General features: G+C 57.9%; 1 protein-coding gene across 11 annotated transcripts in view, besides 3 other annotated features; it reads right to left on the bottom strand.

Annotated features, from left to right (window-relative positions):
- Positions 2681 to 3181: an enhancer, noted in NCBI's record as "H3K4me1 hESC enhancer chr17:75498470-75498970 (GRCh37/hg19 assembly coordinates)". NCBI's record gives its function as "activates a minimal SCP1, AML or CMV promoter by ChIP-STARR-seq in primed H9 embryonic stem cells {active_cell/tissue: H9 hESC(primed)}" and the evidence as "EXISTENCE:reporter gene assay evidence [ECO:0000049][PMID:30033119]".
- SEPTIN9 (septin 9) overlaps positions 4973 to 27807 on the bottom strand; it is a 219098-nt gene continuing 196263 nt past the window's right edge. For 10 of the 11 annotated variants that reach the window (NM_001113491.2, NM_001293695.2, NM_001113492.2 and 7 more), the window contains 9 exons: positions 23234 to 23425; positions 18017 to 18145; positions 17248 to 17329; positions 16705 to 16842; positions 14710 to 14827; positions 12853 to 12948; positions 12493 to 12589; positions 8203 to 8254; positions 4976 to 7046 (listed from right to left, as the gene is read on the bottom strand). In NM_001113491.2, coding sequence (NP_001106963.1) covers positions 6911 to 7046; positions 8203 to 8254; positions 12493 to 12589; positions 12853 to 12948; positions 14710 to 14827; positions 16705 to 16842; positions 17248 to 17329; positions 18017 to 18145; positions 23234 to 23425 — 1040 coding nt within the window. In that variant the 3' untranslated portion in view covers positions 4976 to 6910. 11 annotated transcript variants of the gene reach the window in all.
- Positions 8045 to 8592: an enhancer, noted in NCBI's record as "H3K27ac-H3K4me1 hESC enhancer chr17:75493059-75493606 (GRCh37/hg19 assembly coordinates)". NCBI's record gives its function as "activates a minimal SCP1, AML or CMV promoter by ChIP-STARR-seq in primed H9 embryonic stem cells {active_cell/tissue: H9 hESC(primed)}" and the evidence as "EXISTENCE:reporter gene assay evidence [ECO:0000049][PMID:30033119]".
- Positions 8593 to 9142: an enhancer, noted in NCBI's record as "H3K27ac-H3K4me1 hESC enhancer chr17:75492509-75493058 (GRCh37/hg19 assembly coordinates)". NCBI's record gives its function as "activates a minimal SCP1, AML or CMV promoter by ChIP-STARR-seq in primed H9 embryonic stem cells {active_cell/tissue: H9 hESC(primed)}" and the evidence as "EXISTENCE:reporter gene assay evidence [ECO:0000049][PMID:30033119]".

Here is a 27807-nt window from a genome sequence, read left to right as displayed (position 1 = left end):
AGGAGTGACTTTGTGCCTGACCTTCTGAGCTCCAGGAGACCTTCGTGTATGTGACTCTGAGGGTTGGCAGGCAAGCTCTCGAAAGATGCTTTGCCCATCCATGGGCCTGAAGGCAGAGACCAGAGACTCGATGGGAAAGAGGGGAGGGCTGGGAGCGGGAAGGAGAAGGGGAAACCAGTCCTCGGCCTCCTCTTGTCTCTTCGTTTACAACAGACTATTCCACCATGGGCTTCTGAGCCATCCCAGTTGCTTCTTGCTCCTTCTAAGTGAGTTTGCCAAACACCAGGCACCTCTGTCATCTGGGAGGAGGGACAGGGACGGCCCAGCCAGTCGCCGCACGGACCCCCACCAGGCCTCCAACTGCAGCCCAGGTGACAAGAGTAAGAATTTAGAAATCATCATTTCATTCCATATGTTGACAGGATGGAGTACTGCATAGCTATTAAAATTATTTTTCAAAAAATAATTTCGATTATCAAGTGATATGCACAATCGGAGCTTAATTTTGGAAAAACAAAAAAAACCAAATGTTTGCAGAAGCGTTTTGTTTTAACTCCCACGCACAGGCAGGCTGACCGGCAGGGGTGGAGTTCCGTGCCTGTTGTTGCTCTTGCTCTTCTCTATTTTCCCAACATTCTACAATGGACAGGCATTGCTTCTATTATCAGAGAAAACCCAGAGCATTTAACTTTTTGCATTTTACTGAAGGCCAAGGCCTTCAGGAGGAGCAGGGAGCCTGGTGGTGTGGGGTTGGGTAGGCAGTCCCCAGAGGTCTGCAGCCCAGCCCCGCCTGGCCCAGCCTGGAATCAGCCCAGGGAACGCAGCTTACCTGGGACTCTCCAAGGAGGAGGACCCGAAGATTTAGGCACCTTACAAGTGACATTTTAATCAATGACTGTTCCATGTGCAGGCACCAGCCCAGCATCCCCTATGCAGCTGGTTCTGCTTCTCCGGCCCCTCCTGGCCATGCCTTGAGGCAGCTCCAACATCTGTAAAGCATTCCTGCTCCCGGGCAGGAAATGCGCCTGGGCCCTGCACAGATTCCCACCACTCAGGACACCTGAGCTGGGCCCAACTTCGGTGGAAGCCTCTCCCCTCCTTGCTTCCAAAAGGATGGGAGGGGAGGGGAGGAGAGGGGAGGAGAGGGAGTAGGAGGGCGATGGGAGGAAGCCGGGGCGCTCTGCTGGGTTCTGCTCTTGAAGCCTGCTCCACCTACCTTTCCACCTACCTAGAGAACCTCACCTGGGCTCCCTGCTGGAGCAGAAAAACACCGGCCACTTTCTGGGAGCGCACGGGGTGGGATCCTCACAGCACAGAGTGCTTTGGAAGCCCTCAGGGGCCACACACCTTCCTCCCCTTCCAGTCTCCTGGGCAGCAGCCCAGCACCCCCAAAACCAGATCCAGCGGGATTTAGAGCAATGCATGGGGATCGTTTCCTCCCAGTTAACTGCAGTGGTTAAAGGATGCCGCACCAGGAGGGAGACCCAAGGCCGACACCCCAGGACCAGGGCTGGGGGGGCATCACAGGGGCTTTTGAGTGTCTTCCTGGGGTATTTATTTGTGACATTTCCCATTGTACACGCCACTTTTGTAGCAGAAAGTAGTGTTTTAAAATGTGAGAGAGTTGGCCAGGCGCGGTGGCTCACGCCTGTAATCCCAGCACTTTGGGAGGCTGAGGAGGGCAGATCACTTGAGACCAGGAGTTCAAGACCAGCCTGGCCAACATGGTGAAATCCTGTCTCTACTAAAAATACAAAAATTAGCTGGGTGTGGTGGTGGGTGCCTATAATCCCAGCTACTCGGGAGGCTGAGGCAGGAGAATCACTTGAATCTGGGAGGCGGAGGTTGCAGTGAGCCGAGATTGCGCCACTGCACTCCAGCCTGGGCAACAGAGTGAGACTCTGCCTCAAAAAAATTAATAAAATAAAATAGGAGAAAGGACATGCACATCTAAGAGGAGGTGCCAAGCACAGCCCCCGCCCAGTGGGCTCACTGGGTTCCCATCCGGCTTTCTCCCAGGCGCATCCAGGTGGAGCTGAGTGGAGCCCACCTGCCAGCATCCTTACCTGGCCCCTGAGCTCCAGAGAATGCAGGGACTCCTACAAGGCTGGGTCCGGAAAAGCCCAAAGCCTGCTTGTTGATTTTACTTTCTTTCCTGGCTTCAAACCTTGCCGCCTGGAGCAGGAGAGGAAGCAGGGACACAAGGTCTCCACAGCCCCCACGAGATTCCCCACTTCCCACGCAGGAGCTCAGAGCCAGTGTGAGAATGGTGCCTGTTCCTGGGGCCTTCCTGCTCTCCCTGGGTCTCTCCTTGGGGACAGCCTGGTCCATGCAGCTCCTTCAGAACCTCTGGGGTTGAACAAGTGTAGAGGCCAGGGCTCCCAGAGGCAGGAGAAGCGGCGGGGTGGCACGGGGATCCCACCCAGAGTGGCCAACTTGTCCACTTTGCCCAGGACTCTCCTGATTTTAGCACTGAAAGTCCTGTGTGCTTGGAAAGCGCTCATTTTCAGGCAAATTGTAACAGTGGTCACTCTGGTTCTACAGCAGGAGACTTGCTCGGTTGGGTGGCAGGAGGCCCTCCCTGCCAGCATCGCTGGATGGGCCGTGCAGGGTGGCTGGGTACCGGGGTTGGTCTGGTCAATGAGATGACCATGGCGTAGGGGGCAGGGGGCTGGCTGGGTATGGCTTAGAGGCACGAGACGCCTGGGAGGATCATGCTGGCCAAGTGGGGAGGAGCTGGAGTTCTGAGGCCAGGACTTGGAGAGGGTGGTCGGTCCCAAAGAGGGCAGCCGCTGGACAGGCTCCCTGTGTGCAAGGATGGAAATTGGGGGTGAAAATGGAGACACTTCAGTCTGCAGGAAGAGGGCTTCAAGGCAGAGGGACTGCCAGGAACTTCAGATGGGGGATGGACAAAGCCATCACAGCTGGAAGGGCCTTAGTGATTATTTAGATCCTTACCTTAATGACATCTGCAAAGACCCTCTTTTGGAATCAGGCTGCAGGCTGGCAGCCGCCCACAGGGGCTGACCTGACTCTCAACCTGCCTGTGCTCATGGCAGACACCGGCCCATGGCACAGAGGCTCCACTGGGCCAACGCCCATCAGTTCATTGAGAGAGGAACCTGTCTGCTTTCTCCAAAACATGCAGAAGTCAGGTGCCTGGCAGAAGAGCCAGGGGGTGCCCAGAGAGGCTGAGACAACCCCAAGTTTTGGTGGCAGAGTCACCCTGGAACCCAGACCTTCCGAGTCCCAAATTAGGGCTTTCCCACCCACCACTCTGCTGCCCATGTTGTCCTGGAGGTCCTGAAACAGCGGGGCGGAAGGGGATGTAGGGGGTCCAACCGTGTCTCCCACCTCACCAAATTCTCATCCATTCAGACCTTAGAATGTGACCTGATTTCAAAAGAGCGTCTTTGCAGATGTCATGAAGGTGAGGATCTAAATGAGATCGAACTGAATCAAGGTGGGCCCTCAGTCCTGGAAGAGTGCCCTCTTGGCCCTCTTGACCCTCCAGGACAGAGAGAGAGAAGGCTGTGAAGACGGAGGCAGAGATGGGGTGAAGTGGCCAGCAGGAGCTGGGGGAGGAGAGAGGAACCTCCTCTAGAGCCTTTGGAGGGAGCGAGGCCCTGGGACACCTGGATCTCAGACCTCTGGCCTCTAGAACTGTGAGAATAAATTTCCGCTGTTTTCAGCCCTGCTGCATGGTCATCTGTTAAGGCAGCTGCAGGGCACTAATACACGTGGGAGAAGGGATCCGGGTGAGGCCCTTCTGCACACGCAAAGGGCATACGGACCAGAGCTCCCTGAACCTTACTTCCTAAGCTCACCTGCAAAGAAAAGCTCACTCAGCCAAGGCTCTGACTTCTAATCTATTTGGAATCAAGTTCTCTTGGAATGAGTTAGGTTGGCATAAAACAACTGTCAAATACTGACCAGTCTGGAGTTCAATCTAATATAAATTTCTAAAAGAAAAACTTACTGTCAGCCAGGCATAGTGGCTCACGCCTATAATCCCAGCACTTCGGGAGGCCAAGGCAGGAGGATCACCTGAGGCCAGGAATTTGAGATCAGCCTGGGCAACATAGTGAGATCCCATCTTGACAAAAAATGAAAAAGTTAGCCAGGTGTGGTGGTGCACACCTGTGGTCCCAGCTACTCAGGAGGATCGCTTGAGCCTGGAAGGTAGAGGCTGCAGTGAGCTGTGATCGTGCCGCCGCACTCCAACCTGGGTTACAGAGCAAGACCCTGTCTCAAAAAATAAAACAGAAAAAGTTATTTTCAAGGATACACTAACTAGAAGCAGCTCACAGCGCCCCCTGTGGACGCCCTTCAGATCCCCCACTTTAATGAAAGCGTTCAGATCTGCCATTCACTTTTCAGTCATCTCCGCTGAGTGCTTCTCAAGCCCTGGGAACTTTTACCCCAGGTAGATTAAACAACGCCCCAGCAATCGCCTTGATGCTATTCTCACTCTTCACAGTGCTCTGGAATTATAAGTTCTCAGGGAGTTTGTTAGTTTCAAATCTTGGGAGTCTGAATTCGAGATCTGACCTGGCCTTACCTTTTCTTTTTTTTTTTTTTTTGAGATGGCATCTTGCTCTGTCGCCCAGGCTGGAGTGCAGTGGCATGATCTTGGCTCACTGCAACCTCTACCTCCCGGGGTTCAAGCGATTCTTCTGCCTCAGCCTCCCGAGTGGCTGGGACTACAGGCGCCCACCACCATGCCCAGCTAATTTTCGTATTTTTAGTAGAAACGGGGTTTCACCATATTGGCCAGGCTGGTCTCAAATTCCTCACCTTGTGATCCAACTGCCTCAGTCTCCCAAAGTGCTGGGATTACAGGCGTGAGCCACCGCGCCCGGCCTACCTTTTCTTGCCCATGCTTCTTGCCCACCTGCAGCTGACCCCAACCTGTCCCGAGGCCCAAAGAACTGCACTTCAGGGGCAGAAAAAACATTCTCACTCAGGAGCCTTCTGGGTTTCTGCATTTGAAACATTTATTTCAGGAAATACATTTTCAACACTTTGTCATTTATACAAAAAGACAAATTTCTCGGGAGGCACGTAGCAAAAGGCCATTGAGGAACAGAGCCTGATGAAACGAACAATTTTTCAAAGTCTGGTTACAGAGAAGGAAAGTGAAGCATCTCAAGGCTGGGATGCTGCTGCCCACCCCCACCCCACCCCGCCACCAAGTGACATTGAGGCTGGGCAGGCCACATGGCCTGGGCCCTGGCGCTGGCCACTCATTTCCTTCAAAATCTTGGTTTTGGCAAAAACATGGCAAGTTGGCAAAGTAAACTGTCTCACCAGTGGGGGTGGTGAGGGGTCCTTCCTCTCTTGGGTGGGGAGGGAGTCAGACGCCCAGTGCCCCAACTTCCATGCACACACACTCACACTCATACACTCCTTCTCGCTGACCTTCTCCTGGCTGCAAGCAGCCAGCCCGGTGCCTGCAGATGCACCTGGTGATGTGTGCACCTGAGTGGAGTCTCATCAGGCCCCTCTTTCTCCCCAGGAGCAAGACAGGTAACAGGAAGCAGGAAGGGACTTTGGTCATCTGTGCCCTGCAAAGACAGCCCCCATGGGTCCCCTCGTGGGGACAGAGGGTGAGGGGCCGGGCCGTGCTGCCACGAAACCTTGCTCTTCAGCTGTGGACTGTGCACCCCTGACGCCCGTTCTCTCCTTTCTAGGGGTTCGTTACCATGGGCTCTGAGGGGAGGGGCCCAGGCACGGGTAGATCAACAGAGTCAGGCTCGCCTGGCCTCCCACCTCCCCAGCTCAGAGAGTCAGCAAGGCCTGGGCCAGGAAGGGTGAGTGGCAGGGGTGGCTGGCTGGGCATTAATGTAACTACAGCCCAGTCTTGGGCCAAACCCAGACACTAGACAGACAGACGGACACGCATACACATGGACACACACACACTTCCCTGGTCACTTGGGCAGGGCAGGCGCCGGGCAGCTCACGCCACTCTGACCAGCCCAAGCCACGGCCCACACGTGCCCCCGCCAACCTTCCTTCTGGCACCTTCCATGGCTCCCTCCCTCAGCTCCTCCACCAGACTCACTTGCTTAGACCTTTTCAAAACTGGGGGATGAGGGGGTAGGGGTCATCTCTCCTTCCTTTTTATCCTCAATCAGATCCCAGCGCATCAGCAGCACCTGCAGCCCGGTGGGGGCGGGGGTGGCGTGAGAGGGGGATGGCAGGGAGATGAAGACGCCTCCCTCATTCCAGCCTGTCCCCGCATCTGGCCAAGCAGTCTGCGGATGGCTGAGATAAAGGCACTTTCTGCTCCAGGAGGGGCAGCTGCCAGGGGGCTTGGAGTGGCTGGGCAGTCGGTGGCAGGGGACCCTGGAGTTTTCTACCCTTAGGAGCAGGGCAGGGGTAGGGGCTGAGTGATGGCCACACCATGTGGCGGGCAGGGGGTCCAGGTGCTCCTGGTGGGCTGCATTCTCCCCTGGGCTCTGACACACTCCAGGGGACAGGGCCGATGGGGATGGAGGGGAGCGTGCAGCCCACTGGGCTCCTCTGCAAGTGCGAGGCCTGGCCCCCACCCCAAGGCCTCCGGCACTGAGAACCCCACACAGACGGATGATCTGCACACCGAAGCTGCTCTTCTGAGCCCTCGGGGAGCCAGGCCTGGGGACAGAGGGTCATGTCAATTCAGTGGGTGCTCTCACCCCTGCCTGTGGCTCCAGTGCAGCCTCCCCACAACCTCGGGGAGGCCGCGGCCTCATCACTGACTCACTCGGAGGGAGGCCCCTTCCCTTGTTTCCTGGCAGCATGTCGAAGGGGTGGGGAACGATGACAAATGGAGAAAATCATATAAAATAAAATGGGGTGGTGGGAGGGCCTGGGGGGGGACGGAAATGACTTGGGGGCAGGATCCCGGGGGTGGGCAGGGTGGCGTCTACATCTCCGGGGCTTCTGGCTCCTTCTCCTCCATGCCGTTGGCCATGGCGCTGCTGCCCTCGTTGAGGCGCTTCACACGGTACGCCTCGAAGTGGATGCTGCTGGTGATGTCCTTGATGTTCTGCATGTGCGTCCTGTGGGGGTGGGGGGCGGGCGGGTCAGTGAGGTGGGCGCAGCGGGGTGGGGGCAGCGGGGCAGGGGCCCTGCTCGGCCTGCCTCGGACTCAGGCCCGCCTGCCCCCACCCCCACTCCCCATCCCGACTGCTTGGCTCCCCATGGGGTCCCCCAGGCCCACCATGTTGGACCAGATCTGGTACACGTTTTGGGGGAAGGGTCAGTCCCCCTGGTAAGCCCAGACTCGGTCAGAACACACATATTCCAGTGCATGTGTCTCCCTCTGGGTCCACCCTATGGCCCTGGGTCCAGGGCCCAGGGACAGTGCATAGACTCAGAGGGACAGGGCTGGAGCATTGTTGCTCCAGGCCGGTGTCCAGGGTGCTGGCAGGGTGGAAGCAGTGGGTGACCACCGGCCTCCAGGACTATGGCCTGTGGCAGGCAGGTGGCCTGGGGCAAAGGGCTGGGTTGCCCTTGTCCCCAGGAAAAAAAAGTCCTGGGCTCGGATTTTCATTCCTCTGCAGCTCAGGAGGAATAATCTGGAGGGAGGTTGGAAAGCCCAGTATCCCCACAATGGCAGAACGGCTCCCGGAATCCCCCCACCCCTGCCCCCGCCAACCTGGAGGCCCCTCCTCTTGATAACATTCCCATCATCCATGCCAGCTGCTTGCTGAGGAAGAACCTGCCCAGGCCAGGGCCCACACTCCAGGGACCACCCACCCAGCACCCTCTCCATCAGGGCTTCCCCTCCTTGCCTGGACTCAAGGGAAACAAGGAGAAGCCTCAGCCAGGTGAAAGGGGTAGGGGTCAGAGGCCAGTGGGATCGGAGCTGGAGACGCCCCACGCTGCCGGCAGGGCCTGCACATGAGGCCTCACTGGGCCCTTAGTGGCCACCGGGCAGCTCTAACGGGCCAGACCACAGTGGATCAAAGCTCAGCCTTCCCATCCAGCCAACTTCGCAGGGGTTGAAAAGGATCTTCACTGCCTGCTTCATTTCCCAGTGGGTTTTCTTTTTCAGAAGATGGGCTTCCAAGATCTTCCCGAGGGCAGGGCAGGCAGGTGGCAGGGGGCACCCACTCTGCCCAGGGCTTCGGCCCCACACCCACTGCCCCCACCCGCTGTAGGGCCCTCTTAGGGGTGAAGCCGTCAGCCCCACCCAAGCACCCTGTCTCTCACCTGATGAGAAGGTCCCGCAGGTAGGCAAACTCACAGTGTGTGGTGTTTTCAACTAGGAGAGGAGACAGGAGGGGCTTTAATGTCCCAGTGGAGAAACTCTGCCCGGACCCCACCTCTCTCCCCCTGCCCAGAAATGCTGGTGCCAAAAGCAGAGTCTGAGGGCAGCCCCATGGGCAGGAGGGCAGGGGAACCACCTGCTCTGCAGCTGAGTATAGGACACCTGGCACTGCCCTCAGTCTGGGGGATACTGGAGTGACCAGCACCAGCTCCTGCTCCTGGACAGCTCAGCTCCTGCTCTCCAGAAAGTTCCTGGCTAATGGGAGATGGCACAGTGACCAGGCCAAATAGGAGCATGGAAGGAAGCCACAGTGGAGAAGCCAGGGCAGTGGGCCCCCGCACCACTGGGGTGACCAGGGAGAGCAGGACGTCCCAGCAGGGGCCTGAAGACAGGCAGGGGGCTGGGCTGCTGGGAATGGGATGAAGCAGGAATCGGAGCTGGGATTTTAAAGAAAACCTGTGGCCCACAGGGTGTTACCCCCACGGCCCCATCCACCTTGTGTGCGCTCAGAGCACACACACACAGGGACACACACAGGGGCTACGTACTGTGGACGACCATTCACAAGCTCAAGAATCAGCAATGCTAAACATTGCTCAGGGACATGTGCACTTCACACAATACATACAAGCCCAAGCTCGGGACAGTGGCCACTTCTCAGGGAGACTGGGCAGGAGACCACGGGCACCCACAAGTGCCCTCGGGCTCGAGCTGGTGGCCATCTCAGAGTGGTCATTTTATTGCTGTGCTTCGTAACTCCTATATGAACACGCGGTGCCTGGCATGTGTAACTGTTATATAACAGAAGGCCTTTTAACAAGGAGGGCAGTGAACGGCATCACTGGAGGTGGGGAGCCGGGCAGGGAAGGCAAATAAAGACACCCGGTGCCCTCCCATGTGATGAACTTCGTCTTCACACACCTGCAAGTGTCTCTTGTGATTCCTTTGTTATCCCCATTATCTTACGAAAATGGGGCGTAGACGCTGGGCACCACGGCTCACGTCTGCAATCCCAGCACTTTGGGAGGCTGAGGTGGGTGGATCACGAGGTCAGGAGTTCGAGACCAGCCTGGCCAACATGATGAAATCTCGTCTCTGTTAAAAATACAAAAATTAGCCAGGCCTGGTACCAGGCGCCTGTAATCCCAGCTACTCAGGAGGCTGAGGCAGGAGAATCACTGGAACCCAGGAGGTGGAGGTTGTGGTGAGCCAAGATCACGCCACGGCACTCCAGCCTGGGCAAAAGAGTGAAACTTCGTCTCAAAAAAAAAAAAAAAGAAAAAGAAAAAGAAAAGAAAAGAAAATGAGGCATAGAGAACGCAAGAACTGTGTCTGTCTCAGCTCCACAGTGCATAAGGCTGGAGCGGGATGCAGAACCCATACACCTGGCTCCAGGCTGCCCCATCGCAGAGCCACATGGCTTTTCCCCAAGTTAAAAATGTCTAGTTTTTACTTGGTAGGCCAGCAGGCAGGGCCGGGGCCTCCACCTTGCCCAGCCCTCAAGTGCTCTCAGTGCTATGCCGGTTGCCTTTGCCTAGGCCCTCCTGCCACGGCCCTGTGTAGGGCGGTGTCCACACTAGAACCTCCTGCAGACTGACCAGCAGCACTCTCATCTAACACTGACGGGCAGCGAGAGCCGGCAGGAAGAATGGGGCTCTCAGGCTGGAGTTGGAGTGTGTGATCGCCACTCCCTGGCTCGGGCAAGTTACTCTCATTCCCTCAGTTTCCTCATCCATAAAATGTGGATAATAACGTCACCCGCCTCTCAGGGACATGAGGATTAAATGAGTTCATGGCGTGATCAATTACACCCCACATTTCTATTGACAATACTTGGGGTGGTTTCTAAGGATGGGAAAGATACCTCAAGATGCTGTTCACCAAGTGGGAGGCAAGAACAAGGCACAGCCCTTACTAGTCCGGGTGTCAGGTCAGCTATGAACTCATGGGGCCCCTGATATAAAAACCCAGCAGTGCTGAAGGCACATTTCCAGGGTCCTCATATAAGACTGCTGGAAAGTGGGCCCCACCACCTCACAACTGTCCTGACAGGTTCCAGACTCTTCCTCAGCTGGAGCCAGTGGTGCTCAACAACGCACAGGTCAGAGAGGTGCGGGGACCTCTCTCTTGTGCATTTCCTGACAGTTTCTGTCACCGGCCACCTGCGGTACTCAAGGTTGGCCACCAGGGTGCAGCAGAGGCACGCCCATAGCAAAGCCGCCGGCCCGTCCCAGGCCCATCCATCCCTAACTCTCCCAAACCTGCCTTTCATAAAAAGTTTCCTAAACAGCAAGAACTCTTTGGGCAGAGAGGAAGAGAGGAACTGCAGGCAGAGGGGCCAAGGGGAGGCAAGCCAGCCTGACACCACAGGCGGATACTGGAAAACACCCAGGCTGCACCCAGCTGGGCAGCTCCCGCAGGGTGGGCCCGGCAGGGGTGGTGGTAGGGGAGGAGTGCAGACAGGGGAAAGGCCCGTGTGCCTCTCCACACCCTCCTCCAGGCATGAACTCCCATCTCGAGGGAGTCTGGTGCAGGGCTGGAGCTGTAGATTCTAGAGCCGCCTCCCGTTCTGGGTCCCTTGGCAGGTTTTCTGCTCACAGCACCTCTTCAACTCTGCAAGGAGGGTGGGTGCGGGGAGCTTCGGACATGAAACGAGATAACCCATGTCTAGCCAGTGGCACAGGAGTGTCTGATGCCTCCTGGTAATTGTCATTATGACCATTTTTTTAGAGCAACAGCTTCCCAAAAAGCTCTGTGGTCTTTGGGACAGTCTCTCAACTCACTAAAATCTTGGCACACTGCACCCACTTTGTGGATGATGAAAACTGAGGCCCTGGAAGATTAAGAGACTTGTGCTTCCTGCTCTACTGGGCCTTTCAGCCAAGTGCTCTCCCAGAACAAAGTGGCTTTTCCTGCTGCATTTCCCTCTGCACCTTCCCCTCTTCCATTCTAATGAGAAATGAAGGGACAGAGAGAGGAAGGGGAAGGAAACGTTCGGGCCCATCCCTCCCGGGGTGTCACCGCCAGGAGTGGGTTGAACTGTGGCCCCCCAGGGGCTCCCATCCATTCAAAGACATGGTCAAGGTCCAGGCCTTGGAACCCATGATTGTGACCTTACTTGGAAAACGTCTTTCTTTATAGATTCATTAAGGATCTCCAAATGGGATCATCCACTTAGGGTAGGCCCTAAGTCCAAAGACAGGCATCCTTGTCCAAAGACAAGAAGGAAAGAGGGCAGGCTCGGTGGCTCATTCCTGTAATCCCAGCACTTTGGGAGGCCAAGCAAGGTGGGCAGATCACCTGAGGTCAGGAGTTTAAGACCAGCCTGGCCAACATGGCGAAATCCTGTCTCTACTAAAAATACAAAAATTAAGTCAGGTGGGTGGTACGTGACTGTAATCCCAGATACTCGGGAGGCTGAGGCAGGAGAATTACTTGAACCCAGGAGGCAGAGGTTGCAGTGAGCTGAGATTGCAACACTGCACTCCAGCCTGGGTGACAGAACGAGACTCCGTCTCAAACAAAAAAAAAAAAAAAAAAAAAGGAAGAGGAGGGACGGGACAGAGACACAGGGAAGAAGGCCCTGTGACAATGGGGCAGAGATTAGAGCATGTGATGCCTTTACAATACAACTAGGAATGCCAGGCGCCACCAGAAGGAGGAAGGCATGGATGAGGCTGGTCCTCAGGGCCTCAGAAGGAAACAGCCCCTGATTTCGGACCTCTGGCCTCTGGAACTGTGAAAATACGTTTGTGTTGTTTTAAGTCCCCTCGTTTGTGCTAATTGGTTACAACAGCCACTCAAGAGACTAAGGTGTGAGGGTCCCAGGAACTTCAGCAGGGTAAGGGGCCGAGGGTCCATCTGGCTCACAGAGCTACAGCCCACCCCTTTTCTAGGCCCAGAGAGGTTGGGCGATTTGTCCAGGGCCACACAGGTGCCTATGAAAGAGCCTGCACCAGGATCCAGAACTTGGCGGCCCCCATCCCAGCTCCTGTCTCCCTGAATCTTTCCCTGCCCGGGGGGAGGTCTGGGGTGGAGGCATCTGCACAGGCCACTTGCCCTCTCACTTTCCCAAGGGTTGAATGGGGACAAGGAGACCCCTCCCTCTGGGTGGGGCAAGGCAGTGGATGAGGTTCCACGAGTCCCTGGCTCAGGCGTGGCCCACAGGCTCTGGGTCAGCAGAAGAGACTGTCTTCCCATCTGTCTGGAGCCCCGGCGCCTGCGGCGAGTACCTTCGATGGTACCCCACTTGGTCTTCCTCCCAAGGATCCTCTTGCCGTTGACCTGGTACTCGTGGTCACTGCCCACCACAGCAAATGGGATCATCTCCTGGGGAACGGGCAGACGGTATTGGTTACACATGTGCGGGAAGGCAATTCCCTCCCCTGGGCCCCCGGGAGGAGCTGCCCTGAGCCTGGGGTCCCCCAAAAACGAGAGCCTCAGCCTGACAGCACTGGGTACAGACACCTGGGCTCAGTGCCCTCTGGCCCCAAGAATATAATTTCATGGCTTAAGGTCCTCCAAACCCCCAACCCACCCTTCAGCAGGAACTGGGGGTCCCCTGGGAACAACATCCTAGTGGATCCACTCACCCGGAACTTCTCGTTCACCAGCCGGTCCTCCGAGTCCTCATCAAATTCCTTCTGGGGGTACACGTCGATGCCGTTGGACAGCAGGTCTGCGGTGATCTGGGATAAGGAGGGAGAGAGATGGGCCCATCCCTGTGGCAAGCTCTACCCACCCACTGGTGTTTGCCACATGACCTCCACACTGTGTGCTGCCCCAGGCTCGGGTTCAAGGGCAGGCTCTGGGGGGCTGTGACACCAATCACCTCCAACTCCTGTGCCTCCTGGAGGGAAGAGGGGCAGCTGCAGGTGCACCTGCTGTCCTGAGCGACGCTGCAACTCCCCAGGGGCTTAAGGTCATCGTCCTGAGCACCTCCCACCTCTCTTCTCCTGCTCATCACAGCCCCAAGAAAGTACTCAGGGTTACCGAGACCTCCCCTCCTGAAACCCTTCCTAAAAAACCCTCGTCACAGTCCCCAGTTCCAGCAGGGGCCCCGCCTGCAGTAACCTCTCAGCTCCCTGCCAGCAGCCCGACATGGGTACGTGCAACAGAAACATCCCAGTGAGCGGCTGCTCGCCTGCCCAGGCACAGACCACAGCCCGTGTGTAGCCTCCGGCAGACACACCCACTTTGTGTGGACTGTCTTCCCCTGCACATGCTGGGAAGGTCCCTGACACCTGGCCCCAGGACGGAGTAGGTTACAGGCCCCACCCACACCCACCGAGGCAGATGTGGTGCCGCAGCCCAGGCACCTCGGTTTCATTTTGAAAGGCACCCCATGTGGCTCTGATGTGCTGCCCTGTCAGGAGGAAGAGCCCAGGGCTGCCCTCTTGCTTGGATGCCCCTCCCTATCCCACAGCAGGGGCCTCAGACGGTGGCGGAGAAGAAGGTGGCAGAGACCATCCCTCCTGAAACTTTTTTTTTTTTTTTTTTTTTTGAGATGGAGTCTCGCTCTGTCACCCAGGCTGGAGTGCAGTGGCTCAATCTCGGCTCACTGAAGCCTCCGCCTCCCGGGTTCAAGAGATTCTCCTGCCTCAGCCTCCCAAGTAGCTGGGACTACAGGCGCCCGCCACCATGCCCGACTAATATTTTTGTATTTTTAGTAGAGATGGGGTTTCATCATGTTGGCCTCAAACTCCTGACCTCAAGTGATCTGCCCGCCTCGGCCTCCCAAAGTGCTGGGATTACAGGCGTGAGCCACCACACCTGGCCCAGCTTCTCTTCCATCTAATAAAAACCAGGCAGGGCGAGGTGAGGTGGCTCATGCCTGTAACCCCAGCACTTTGGGAGGCTGAGGCAGGAGGATCCCTTGAGCCCAAGGGTTAGAGACCAGCCTGGGCAACATGGCAAAACCTCGTCTCTACTAAAAATACAAAAATTAGCCAGACATGGTGGTGTGCGTCTGTAATTCCAGCTACTCGGGGACTGAGCCTGGGAGGTGGAGGCTGCAGTGAGCCATGATTGTGCCACTACATTGCAACCTTGGCAACTGAGCCAGACCCTTTCTCAAAAAAAAAAAGGGGGGGCATAAAACAAGGTGGGCCATGTCGCACGGCCCCTGCTCGGCCTCACTCCCTGGAAGAGAGATTCACCATCTGCCTGGTCCAGGTCTTCTCCAAAACCCCCCTCAGAGACTCTGCTGGAGAATTGGCACTCCCACAAAGCTGCTTTTGAGATATGGGGGAGCTGGAGAGGCCATCTCAGGGACGGCCCCCAGCAGCCACCTGGGCCAGGGACCACCAGGCCAGCCACCCGCTGGGGAGAGTGACCAGCGGTTCGGTCTCCCTGACAGTGTGACTCCTTTAGACGGGGTGGCCCCTGCCAGGCCTGCAGCGTCTCCAGGTTGCACAGAAGGGCTGGGGCAAGTAGAGATGGAACCCTACCCGCTGTTTGAAGTGGACCCTCTCCTCCAGGGTGAGTGTGTCCGCCTTGGCGATGACAGGGACGATGTTGACCACCTTGCTCAGGCGTTTCATAAACTCGATGTCCAGGGGCCTGAGGCTGAAGCAGAGGGATGTGCGTGAGGCTCATCTGGGGGAGCGGGGCAGTGGGGGGGCACCCACCCCCAAGCAGGTGTCGACACTCTCAGGTGCTGGCTCGGGGCTCACGGGGGTCCCTGCTGGCAAGGACAGGGCCCCGGGCCGAGTCGGCCACGCTGTGAGTGTGGGGCAGAGGAAGGACACGGGTGTGTCCCAGACACAGGTGACACCACTGCACAGGCCAGGCGGGCCAGGGCCAGCTCCAAGCACCCTCGTCCATGAGTTCTGGGGTCCCAACCACACCCCTACATGTCCACACAGAAGGGCTGTCGTTGGCTCAGCAGCCGTCTTGCTGTGGGGCTTTGGCTGGGAGGGGAGAGGCAAGAGAAATAGAAGCTAGCACCAGTGTGCGGTGCCCCTGCACCAGGCGGGCTGCTCCCCTGCACCAGGCGGGCTGCTCCCCTTGCCTGCTTGGCCCCAGTGAGCCTGGGGTCTGATGTGGGGAAAGCTGTGGGTGGCAGGGGCTGGCAGGGCCCTGGAACTGGGGCACCATCTTCCCCAGTTCTGGAGCCGAGCTTTTCCCACAGTGAGAATAAATCGGTCACACACATGGCTGGGGAGAAGCCCGCTCCGGGCAGAAGTTTAAGCAGAGATGGCCAAGGCCCGCCCCTGCCCCATGGGACTGGACGCCTTGGGCGGGACCAGGCAACATGCCTAGCTGGAGTCCCAGCCAAAGGGTCAGTGCTGGGGAGTGGCAGAAGTGCCACAGACCGCCCGCCCGCCCTCGGCTTGCCCAGCTGGCATCAGGAGAGGCTTCTGCCTCCTGCCATCAGCCTCAGCTGAGGCAAAGCTTGGAGCAGCTGGAACAGCTGCCACAGGACCGCAGGTGAGCCGTTCTGCCTGGGAGGGCAGATGTTCAGTTCAGGAGAGGCCCATGGACAGCGGGCTGGCCCCCTGCCCCTGACTCCTGCTGGCCCACAGAGGATGATGCCAGAGGGTGGGCTCGAAAACTCCGGCTTGGGTTTTCCCACAGACTCTGGGTGAGGCCCGCTGCCCACCAGCCAGGCTCCTTCCTGCACCTGGTGCCCACAGAGTATGGTTTCCCCAAACCCCTGGGCTTCCTCCGCCCAGGGAAGTACATCTGGGACAGCAGGTGCGAAGGACCTTCTCCACCCACCCATGCAGACAAGCCACCCACGGCTGCCTCCACCAGCCACTCCTGCTGGCCTCTGGTCCTCCTCCTCCCAGCCCTGGCTCAGGGTGAGCCACAGGTGTCTGGCAGGGGGTGCACAGGGAGCTGAGGACAGAGGGTCCGTGAGGCCATGAAGAGTCCACCTGCCAGGGTACATGCAGCCTCCCGCCCTTGCTGATCTCTAGGGGCGACGTCAGGTGCGGACAGAGCCGGCGGGAGGAAAGGGCTCTCACCAACACCAACAGCAGCCCCGTCCAGCCCTGGAAGGGGCCAGCACTGATCTCTGTGCTTCCCGTCTAAGAACGCACCAAACCCTCTAAGGGGTCCCATGAGGCAGGGCCCGGATGAGAAGGTCAGTCACCGCTACGGGTGCTTGGCTGGGGGCTCCCACTCCACCTGCCAGAGCCTGGCCTGAGAAGGCAGGACACAGACCACCAGGCTCCAGAACAGCCCAGGGCCTGCCTGACCCTCAGCTCCCCAAGACGCAGCTGAAGGATGGGGGCTGGGCAGGACACTTGCATAGGGGTCAGTGTGAGGCTTTGGAGGTGCAGACATGGCACACCCCCAACTTCATAGCTGGCGGCCATGGCCCCTGACTCAGCCCCTCTGCACCCAGCAGCAGGGCAGACAGCACCGTCTTGCAGTCCCAGGGGACAGAGGGAACCCAGGGCACCCGGCATGAGGACGCCGACACTGCAGGGACGTACGAGTGGCCGGTGGCGGGGATGAAGTAGAGGCAGCAGTGGACGCGGGTGTCCGGGATGCGCTTCTTGCGGTTGATGTTGACCTCCTCCTGCAGGTATTTCTCGTACTGGTCATTGATGAACTTCATGATGGGCTGCCAGCTGCGTGGGGGATGGGGACGAGTCAGCAGGCACATGAGATGCCCTCCCCAAGCAGGTCGTGCATTCCCAGGACTCAGAGCCCAACACCCCACCTTCCAATGAAATGCATGCCCTGGGAGGTCTGGCTTGCTGAGCGGAGATGCCACAGCCTTACCCTCGGCCTCCCAAACCAGCCTCCCCGGGCTGGCCTCAGGTGATGAGTTGGGGACAGCAAGATTCCCCAGGTAATTCTGCTTTGGTCCAGAATTTTCAGGCCCCTGAGACGTGCGGCTTTGGCAGCATGTCAGGTCCCAGGAGGTGGGCCCTGCACCCCCGCGGGCCGGGAAACCTCTAGGGCTGACTCTGGGTGGGGTCCAGGGAGCCCTGAAGCCCCCGCTAGTGCTCCTCCCCCTGGAGGGGCCTCACCAGTTCTCGTTGTTGATGTGGTCCCCGAACCCTGGTGTGTCAATCACTGTCAGCTTCATCCGGACGCCTTTCTCCTCAATATCTGCACAGAGCCACGGACGCAGAGTCAGAGGGGAGACGGAAGACCCTCACAGACACCCCACACCTGACTGACCCCGGGGCAACCCCAGGTAGGCAGCGATGACAACCAAGGAGACACCGGGAAATTAATGGCCTTCCTCAGCCAACTCCGGCACAGGCCGGTGACGGTTCCCCTGGGAGCCCCTTGCCTGTCAGACTTTTGGTGGAAAACTCAGTTGTCTGTGGGGAGCTCAGTGTGACGGGGCCCACAGGGGTCCGGGACACTGACCCATCACAGCCAGAGCCCCAACATGCTCAACATGCTGGGGATGGTGGGCACAGCGAGTCCCCGTCTTGGGGACCTGGGATTGCCTGACTCGGGCACCCTCACACCGCACCAGTGCTCCAGGAAGGCATGGGTATCCCACATCCCCAGCCCATCCCCAGCCACTGACCGTGTGTGATGGTCTTGACCCCCAACCCCTGTGCTCCAGGAAGGCAGGGGCGTCCTGCATCCCCAGCCCACTCCCGGCCACTGACTGTGTGTGATGGTCTTGACCCCCCACTCTGTGCTCCAGGAAGGCAGAGGAGTCCTGCACCCCCAGCCCGCCCCTGGCCACTGACTGTGTGTGATGGTCTTGACCCCCAACCCCTGTGCTCCAGGAAGGCAGGGGCGTCCTGCACCCCCAGCCCACTCCCGGCCACTGACCGTGCGTGATGGACTTGATCTCGATGGTCTTGGGGATGCGCTCCTCTGAGGTGGGCTGCACCGACTTCCGGCTGATTTTGGATTTGAAGAGGGTGTTGATTAAGGTGGATTTACCCAAGCCGCTCTGCCCTGGGGAGAGGATGGGAGGCCGGTCAGGGGTCTCTCCGGAGAGACCAGCAGGGTCTGCACATGGGGCCCCTCCCACCCAGGCACGAGGCTCTCCAGTCTGAGATTCAGCAGTGCCTGGGCTACCTCCCGGCAATATCCCTGCCAAGCAGCCCCCGAGGACTTCACCCTCGAGCCGGGTGTCCAGTGACTGTGTAAACCCACACAGCCGGGCTCTGATGCCAGCACAACCCAGGCCACAGTCCTCTCCTGAGAGGTGAGCCGGGCCTGGGAGAGTCGGCATCTCTTGTGCCCCTTGTGCTTTCTGGACAGGAGGTCTCCTGGTGGCTCAGATTTTGGACAGGACAGAGGCCGGGCTGGCGGAGGAGCCCAGGGCTGCCCAGGGTGCACCAGGTGGCCGGGATTCCTGCAGTTCACCAGGGTGGTTGCAACCAAAGCCCAGGTGTTCAAACTGCTCCTCCCTGACCGGCCAGGGCCTGGGCAAGTCACCTGACCTCACCGTGTCTCAGTTTCCTGATCTGCAAAATGGGATAAACAGTCCTTCCCCCGTGGAGCTGGTGTGAGCATCAGGCAGGCTCACGCATGTCCCATGGGGTCTGTGGGGCCATGTGCTAGGGGGCGCTGGCCTGCAGGGTGGTGCCACTCGAGGGACAGTGACCGTGTGTGCAGACAGCCAGTCCACAGGTGACTGAGACAAACGAGGATGAGGAAGTAGCATTCATATGCAACACAACACACACAACTCACATACACCTCATACACACACCTCACAACACACACACTTCACATGCACAACTCACAACACACACACAACTCACCTCAAACATACCTCTTACACATACCTCACACACAACTCTCACAACACACACAAACAAATCACATATAACACGCGCGCGCGTGCGCGCACACACACACACACACACACACACACACACACACCCCTCCAGACTCGGAGCCCCATTGCTTTACCCTGCACAGAGCTGCCTTGGGCTACGCTAGCAACACACCAAAAAAAATACCCTAGGCCAGGTGTGGTGGCTCATGCCTGTAGTCCCAGCACTTTGGGAGGCTGAGGCAGGAGGATTGCTTGAGCCCAGGAGTTCAAGACCAGCCTGGGCAACACAGAGAGACCCTGTCTCTACATCAAAATGTAAACATTGGCTAGGTGTAGTGGCGAGCACCTATAGTCCCAGCTACGCAGGAGGCTGAAGTAGGAGAATTGCTCAAGCCCAGGAGTGCGAGGCTGCAGTGAGCTAGGATCATTGCCACTCCAGAGTGACAGAGACCCTGTCTTTTAAAAAAACAAAAATCGGCCAGGCGAGATGGCTCACGCCTGTAATCCCAGCACTTTGGGAGGCTGAGGAGGGTGGATTACTTGAGGTCAGGAGTTCGAGACCAGCTTGGCCAACATGGTGAAACCCTGTCTCTACCAAAAAACACAAAAATTAGCCAGGTATGGTGGCACATGCCTGAGGCACGAGAATCACTTGAACCCAGGATGTGGAGGCTGCAGTGAGTCAAGACCATGCCACTGCACTCCAGCCTGGGCAACAATGAGACCCTGTCTCAAAAAAACACAACACAAAAAACACCCTAAATTACACTGATGTTCTGACTTTGATAACACCTTTCTAGGAAAAGTGTGGGCTCCTGGGAGGACAGAGGCTGGTGCTGGGAATCCCTGGCCTGAACTGTTTAGTAGCCCAAGGACGGACACTCCTCGTCCATCTCTCTCTGTCCACCAGGTCTGTGTCCTGGCCAACCTCAGGTCAGGAGTTATGTCAATGTTCCAGCCACGACACCTTAGATCTAGGAGATGCCAACTGGGATACTGCAAGGTGTATCCCTTTATTATTGTTACTTTTATTATTATCATCACCATCATCATCACCCTTATCATCACCACCATCCCCATCAGCACCATCATCACAATACCATCACTGCTATTACCATCATCCCATCACTCCCGCCATCATCACCACTTCCGTCACCCTCATCACCACCACCACTGTCATCACAATCATCAGCACCAGCACCATCATCAACCACATCACCACTACCATCCCACCACTATCACCATCAACACCACCATCATCCCCATCACTATCACCACCACTACTAACATCATCACCCCCATCAACACCACCATCACCCACATCACCATCACAATCACCACCATCACAATCACCACCATCACCCCCTTCACCACCATCACAATCATCACCATCACCACCACCACCACAATCACCATCACCCACATTACCATCATCACCCCCATCACAATCACCACCACCACCCACATCACCACCACCACCCACATCACCACAATCACCACCATCACCCCTTTACCACCATCACCATTACCACCACCACAATCACCACCATCACCCCCTTCACCACCATCACAATCACCACCATCACCCCCTTCACCACCATCACAATCACCACCATCACCCCCTTCACCACCACAATCACCAGCATCACTCCCATCACCACCATCACAATCACCACCATCATCACCATCACCACCACCACCATCACAATCACAACCATCACAATCACCACCACCCACATCACCACCATCACAACCACCATCGCCACCACCATCACAATCACCACCACCACCCACATCACCACCATCACAATCACCACCACCACCCACATCACCACCATCACAACCACCACCACCACCATCACAATCACCACCACCACCCACATCACCACCATCACAATCACCACCACCACCCACATCACCACCATCACAATCACCACCACCACCCCCATCACAATCACCATCATCATCCCCATCACCACCATCACCACCACCATCACAATTACCACCATCATAACCACCATCACCACAATCACCATCATCACCACCATCACCACCACCACCATCACAATTACCACCATCACCATCACCACAATCACCATCATCACCACCATCATCACCACCACCACCACAATCACCACCACCACCATCACCACCATCACCATCACCCACATCATCACTACCATCCCACCACTGTCACCATCACCACCACCACCATCCCCATCACCCTCATGATCACTATCACCATCACCTCCATCACCACCACCACCACCATCACAATCACCATCACCCACATCACCACTACCATCCCACCACTATCACCACCACCATCACCATCATCCCCATCATCTCCACTAGCACCATCACCCCATCATCATCACCGTCATTACCACCCCCATCATCCTCATCACCACAACCACCATCACCACTGCTGCAAATTCTCGAACAACCACAACCTGTTGGGGACCCTGCCCGGGGCCTAGCTCGCTTGATCTCACTTTATGGGATGATCCCATTTTATGGACGAGGAAGCTAAGGCTCACAGAGGAGGAGCCCAGGGGAAGACACACAAGCCTCACCCCGCTGAGTTAGGACAAAGCTGGGATTCTCCCCGGGGTCTGTGGACCTCCAAACAGGTGCCCCTCCACCTTGCCTGCACCTCTGCAGGTGGGCACAGCTGCCATGGGAGGGAGGAGGGAGGAGAGCAGAGCTGCCCCACGTCTTGTTCCTCACTCGGCATCCCTGGGAGGGAGTGATTTTGTGGGGAATCAGGACCACTGTTCTTCTCAGGGTTGAAAGGGCGAAGAGGCCCAGACAGGTGAAGTGGCCTCCTGCGCACCATTCCCAGAGGGCAAGGCTGTCACAGTGGCAGCCACGGAAGGCGAGGGCTGCTGGGCTGCCTCTCCCTCTCCTTGGGGCCAAAGCTCCGGAAGAAGGCCTGTGCCATGGCTGGGACGCAGAGGTTCCCAGGTCCTTCTCACCCTGTCCCTGGCTAGGGAGCAGGGCAGCCCCTCCGTAGCCCACAGAGATGAGTCCCAGCCTGGCCACTGCCTTTGGGCCTCTCCCCTCTCTTTCTCTCCAGCCATCTTCCCGGGAGGCAGCCCTGAATCCTCAGGGTACAAGCACGTCCCCCACAACAGGCAGAACAGGGTGGGGGCCGTAGGAGGGGACCCCACACCTCCGCCCTCCCTTGAAGCAGGCTGCCAGCTTCCAGGCAGCTGTGAGCACAGCAGGGCCATGAGCAGCCGGGTCCCATGAGGCTACAGGAAGCAGAGAGGACACCAAGACCCCAGGGGAGCCAGGGCCCAGATCAGTGCAGAAGAGGAAAGAAAGGTGTCGGGCTGGCAGGTGTGGGTTTGCGTCCACAGAGCTGGGCAGGAAGGACGTGCACGGCTGGCAAAGGTCAGAGAAACAGGCCCGGCCTGAGAGGTGCCCAGACACCTTGCAGAAACCCCGCAAGCTCACCTTTGTTTAGGGTGTGACCTGGCGGGGGCACTTCCCCAGACCCCTCCCTGGACCCCGTGGAGTGGGCAGAACACAGTTCTGGGAGTCAAAACGGTGGCTGCGGTTCTCTGCCCTGTGAGCTAAGGAACCTTGGCAGCCTTCCCTGAGCCTCGCTTCTGCCTGGAAAACGGGACGCCCCCTTCACAGGGTCCCTGTGAGGTTTGAATGGGACCTGGGGGGCTTTGGAAACAACAGGCGGCCCACTGTAGACTCCAGCCTGGCCCCCTCACCCTGCCCAGGTCGTGCTGATCGACGACCTCCCGTGGTGACCTCCAGCTCTCCGGGGCCACCAGGGGGTGTGGAAGCCACGAGGCCCCAATTCCAGGGCAGAGCTGAAGCTGAGCTGCTGGGAAGCCTCTGGCCGGGGTGCGGTGGGGTGCGGTGGGGAGCCTGGAGGGCCAGGCTGGAGCAACAGTGAGGGGACAGCTGCCACAGAACCCTCTGCACAAGCTGACGTCATTGCTCAGAGGCAGCGACCACTCATCAGGACCTGCTCCAGGCCGGCCTGGGCTCCCCAAAGTCATCTCAGGGGCCCTGGATGTGCAGGACAGGCCCCTCTGAGGAGCCGCTGGAGGCTGTGGGCTCCTCCCAGGCGCATGCATGCACACGCAATGTCACTGGCAATCCGTCCTTGAGGTCAGGGTTGCTGCCCCATTTTACAGAAGGGAAGACCAAGCCCAAAGGCTTGTGGGCCGCCCTGGGGGCTGAGGCTGGTTTCCGGCATTGGTTGAGTGGCATGCAAGGTGAGGACTCACCGACCACCATGATGTTGAACTCGAAGCCCTGCTTCATGGCCTTCCGGCGCATCTGCTCCAGGATGGAGTCAATCCCCACGTAGCCGAAGTCCACCGGGGCCTTCTCGTTCCGTGATGCAGGCGCCTGCTTGAGCCCGGCATCTCTGGGGGTGTCGGCCATGTCGCCAACGCAGCTGGGAGCCGCCTCAGTGGCTGGGGAAGGAACAGCAGAGGAGTTAGAGCGGAACAGGGGCTCACACACAGGCGCCTGCCAGGTGGTTGTCACACCCATCCTTGGATGGGGAAACTGAGGCACTGAGGCTCAGAAAGGCTAAGCGACTTGCCCAGGCGACCCCTGAGAATTCCCCCGGGTGGATGTCCCTGGCCGTGGTGTCCTCTAAAAAGCTGCCATCCTGCAGCCACGCTGCCTCCCCAGCAAAGCTCCATCCCCAGACTCCCAAGGCCAGGCTTTTTCATCTCCTCTTCTAGGAGCTGTGCCAAGCTGGGGGCCCCCTGCGCTCCAAGGCAGGGCTGACCCTGAACTCCTGTCTCCGTACCCTGGAGGGCTGCTCAGACAAGGGTGGAGGGTGCTCTCCTCTCCTGGCCCTCCACACTGCCTCGGGCCACCCAGGTGGACCTGGCCCTCTCCTTCACCTCTACTCAGATAAGCTGTACCGCCTGCTGCCACTCAAAGGCCTTAGAAGCCGATCCACGAGCCAAGACACAGGAGGGATGGTCTTGTAAGAAACGGGGATAGAACCAGCGTGTGTCCCCGCCTCCCACATCCCCATGGATGGTCTTGTAAGAAAGGGGGATAGAACCAGCGTCGGTCCCCATGGAGTTGTGTGTTCAATCCCATAGAACGAGCCAGCAGTCCTGGGAGAAGGAAAAGTGCTGGGTGCAGGGCGGGTGCCTGGATGCAGAGCTGTTCCTGGGCTCATGGAGGAGGGGGGCCCCTGCACCACATCTGCCTCCCCCTGGACTGACCCAGGCGGCCGTCTTGTGTGCCTGGCCAGCGCCCACGGGCTGCACACCCACAGGCCAAGACCAAGTTTTACTCTTGGGTATGTGGGGCACGTGGAGCTGAACTTCCCGAAATCACTAAAGCCTCTTCTGTCTGTAGGTCCCTTCGATGGCCCTGCTCCTGGCTGCTGTTAAGACACCACACACGGGTCAGAGGCCTGGGGCTGGGGGCGGACGCCCGGAAGACGCCTGCTGAGGACCCAGGTGCTCCCACACAGTGGGGTTCCAGGGGTACCCAGGATGGGGCTGGTTCCCATCAGGGCTGGCTGGTACACGGGCCAGGTCCCAGCACACCTCAGACTCGCCACACTCACTGGTGCATGCGCATGCAGGTGCAGACAACTCGCTGGTCACAGAGGTGGTGCCTCTGCTAGTCCCCACAGGCTGGAGCTGCCCTTGGTGGCCCTCAGCTCCCACGCAGGCTGGGCGGCTGCTGTTCTGTGCCCCCGTCCCTGCTTGGGCCCATCCAGGCCCTGCTCTGCCTGCGGGGAGACTTTTGCCCCATCCTGCCTCCCAGGGAGGATCTGGCCTCAGGCATCCTGCGCTAAGACAGGGACCACACGGCACGCTCCCAGGCAGGGCCCCTCCCGCCAGTCCTCCGGGAGGGGAGTGGCTTTTCCCTGGGACCGGTGGGCACCCAGCAGGGGCAGCCACAGGGGAGTGGAGCCGGCGTGGGAGCCAGGGCCACAGCACGGGAGGCTGCAGGGGGCTCATCCCCCGTGACAGGCAAGTGAGCAGCCCTCCCAGACAGGAGGCAGCCCTCCCGGCCCACGCCCACTCCTCACTCTGCCCAGAAGGTGGGAGGCAGGCTTCCAGGCCAGGAGGGGCAGTGGGAGACTTCAGTTCAACTGCCCTTCCACTTGCGGGGCAAGAACCGAACTCAGGAAATGCCCACTGAGCCCCCTGGCTGCAGCCTGCATCCCCAGCCGATTCAAGCCATCCCTCTCGGCCTATTTCACTGGAGCGGTCAGAGGGTGTCGGAGGGAGGCTCCCCAGGCCTGAGGCATCAGAGGTGAGAGAGGAAAAGACTCTGGAAGCCAGAAACTGGGGGCTGGTTTATCCTCACAGGCACCTCCCCGTCTTCTCAGCCTCCACAGGGCACAGGAATTCCTATCTTATGGAATTGGGGGAACAAAGGAACAATATAATTCCTTGTTGGGAAATGCCAAGGGGGGGTCCACACATCTCCACTGCTGAGAGCAATACCCACAGGCGGACCTGGAGGCCAGGGCTCCTCTCTCTGTGCCCCCACGTGGCCCCCACCCAGGCCACGCAGCCTGGAAGCCTTCAGGGCTTTGCTCCTGCTCCTGCTCCCCCTTCAGAAATACTCTCCCCTGGGCTTCCAGGACCTTTAAATAAACAAAGACACAGCCCTGCATCTGGCCATGGACCATGTGGCTTTGGGGCCGCTTCCTGAAGCCAGACATGGGGCCTTGCCTTGCGGGGCAGCAGTTCAGTCCCCACCCACGTGACCGAAAATCGCTTCCATCTGCCTGTGGGTCTGAGAGCCATTTTGCCTGGGACTGGGACCAGCCCCTACCCGCCCCCACCTCCCCCCAGCATCCCTCAACCCTCCCCAGCAGGACCTGGGGGGAGGCGCTGCCCCCTGAACTCTCCTTTCTCGCCCCCAACGCCCCTGGAGCCCAGAGCGAGGGAGGGGCCGGCTCAGCTGCAGCTGGGTCCCTCCACAGGCACCAGCACTCACTGCAGAAACTCAAATCAAACCAAACATCCTGCCCACCAGGGGCCCCGCTTGAGAAATAATAATACAACGCAGCCGAGCCCCATCTTTGCCATTGACGTAGGGCAGTGGCTTGCCTTCTGCACAGGTGAGAGCCATTCCTGCAACCCCTCCCTCGAGAGGCGGCCTTGCAGGCCCCGGCTGGCCCGCAGGCAGGCACGCACGCAGAGAGCAATGCAAGAGCCCGCCTCGCTCTCCTACCTGGCCAGGTGAGCTTTGGGGTCTGCCTTCAGGACTCCCAAGTGGGAAAAGCAGAGACCCCCATACCCAGAGACACTTTCATCCTGGCCCCAGGACACCATGGTGCTCAGACAGCTGGAAACAATGGTAAAGATCACCCACTCCATTGTCTGTGACCACGACACCGTCCGAGGCCTGCGCTGCTCAGCGTGGTAGCCACTGGCCACGTGACTTTTCCTTTTAATTGTCATAACGTTTGCCACGGTCACTATTTTGAAGTGTGCAGTCCAGTGGTGTTAAGTACATTCGCATTGTTGTGTAACAAATCTCCAGAACTTTTTCATCTTGTAAAACAAACTGTCCTCATTAAACAACTCCCCAGCCCCATCCCCCAAGCCTCTGGCAACCTCCATTCTGCTGTTTTTCTGAATCTGACTACTCTACGGACCTGGTATAAGTGGAATCCTACAGGATTGTCCTTTTGTGACCAAATTATTTCACTTAGCGTAATACCCGAAAGGTTCACCCTTGCTGTTGCAGGTATCCTAACTTCCTCTTTACGGCTGAGTCAAATTCCTTGTATGTTCCACCCTTTTTTTTTTTTTTTTTAGACAGAGTTTTGCTCTTGTTGCCCAGGCTGGAGTGCAATGGCGCGATCTCGGCTCACCGAAACCTCTGCCTCCCCAGGTTCAAGCAATTCTCCTGCCTCAGCCTCTCAAGTAGCTGGGATTACAGGCACCCGCCACCATGCCCGGCTAATTTTGTTTTAGTAGAGACGGGGTTTCTCCATGCTGGTCAGGCTGGTCTTGAACTTGTGACCTCAGATGATCCACCCGCCTCGGCCTCCCAAAGTGCTGAGATTACAGGCGTGAGCCACCACGCCCGGCCTGTCCCGCCTTTGATTTCTCCATTCATTTGACCGCGGGCATTCGGGTTGTTTCTACCCGCTGGCTACTGTGAACAGAGCCGCTATGAATGTGGGTGTACAAATATCTCTAGCTCTTTAAGATGCTGTGCATTCTTTTGAATCCACACCCAGAAGTGGAATTATGGGATGCTACGGTGGTTCTAGTTTTCGTTTTTTGAGGAATTGCCACAGTGTGTTCACAAGTGACTTCTGAGCACTTGACACTGAGCTAGTCCAACTGAGGAACGGAATTTCTATTTTTATTTAAATTTAAATAGCCACATTTCATAAATGGCAACTATACTGGATGGTACAGAATTCCAGTCCAACCTACTCTTTACTAATGGGGAAACTGAGGTCCATAGAGTGATTTTTTTTCCTGAAATGCCACTGTAAGTGGCCAGGCCAGCACAAGACCCTCACTGAATTTGGCAACCCTGAAATTTCACACTCCTGCTTGTATGATATGCGGTTAACACCTGTGACCCCCCCCAAAGACCGTGGGCTCCAGCAAGACGGCAGCTGCCCCGTTGAGATCCCCATCGCACCTCCAGGCCTCGCCCTGCTACGAACACGGTTGTGCAAGGATCTGTCTGGGTCCCTGCTTTCCATTCTTTCGGGTATCCAGACTAATTATCAGCAGTACCCACGTCGACTCTCAGAAAGGTTCTGATTTGGACAGTAACTGACACGTCACCCCACAGTCAAAGCAAAATGCAGAGCTTCCCTCCCGGCTCCGCAGCT

The sequence above is a fragment of the Homo sapiens genome, chromosome 17 (genome assembly GCF_000001405.40).
Source record: "Homo sapiens chromosome 17, GRCh38.p14 Primary Assembly".
In the NCBI taxonomy this organism is placed as follows: domain Eukaryota; kingdom Metazoa; phylum Chordata; class Mammalia; order Primates; family Hominidae; genus Homo; species Homo sapiens.
Note: the sequence above shows the minus strand (reverse complement) of the source record. Positions and strands in the feature narration are given on the sequence as shown.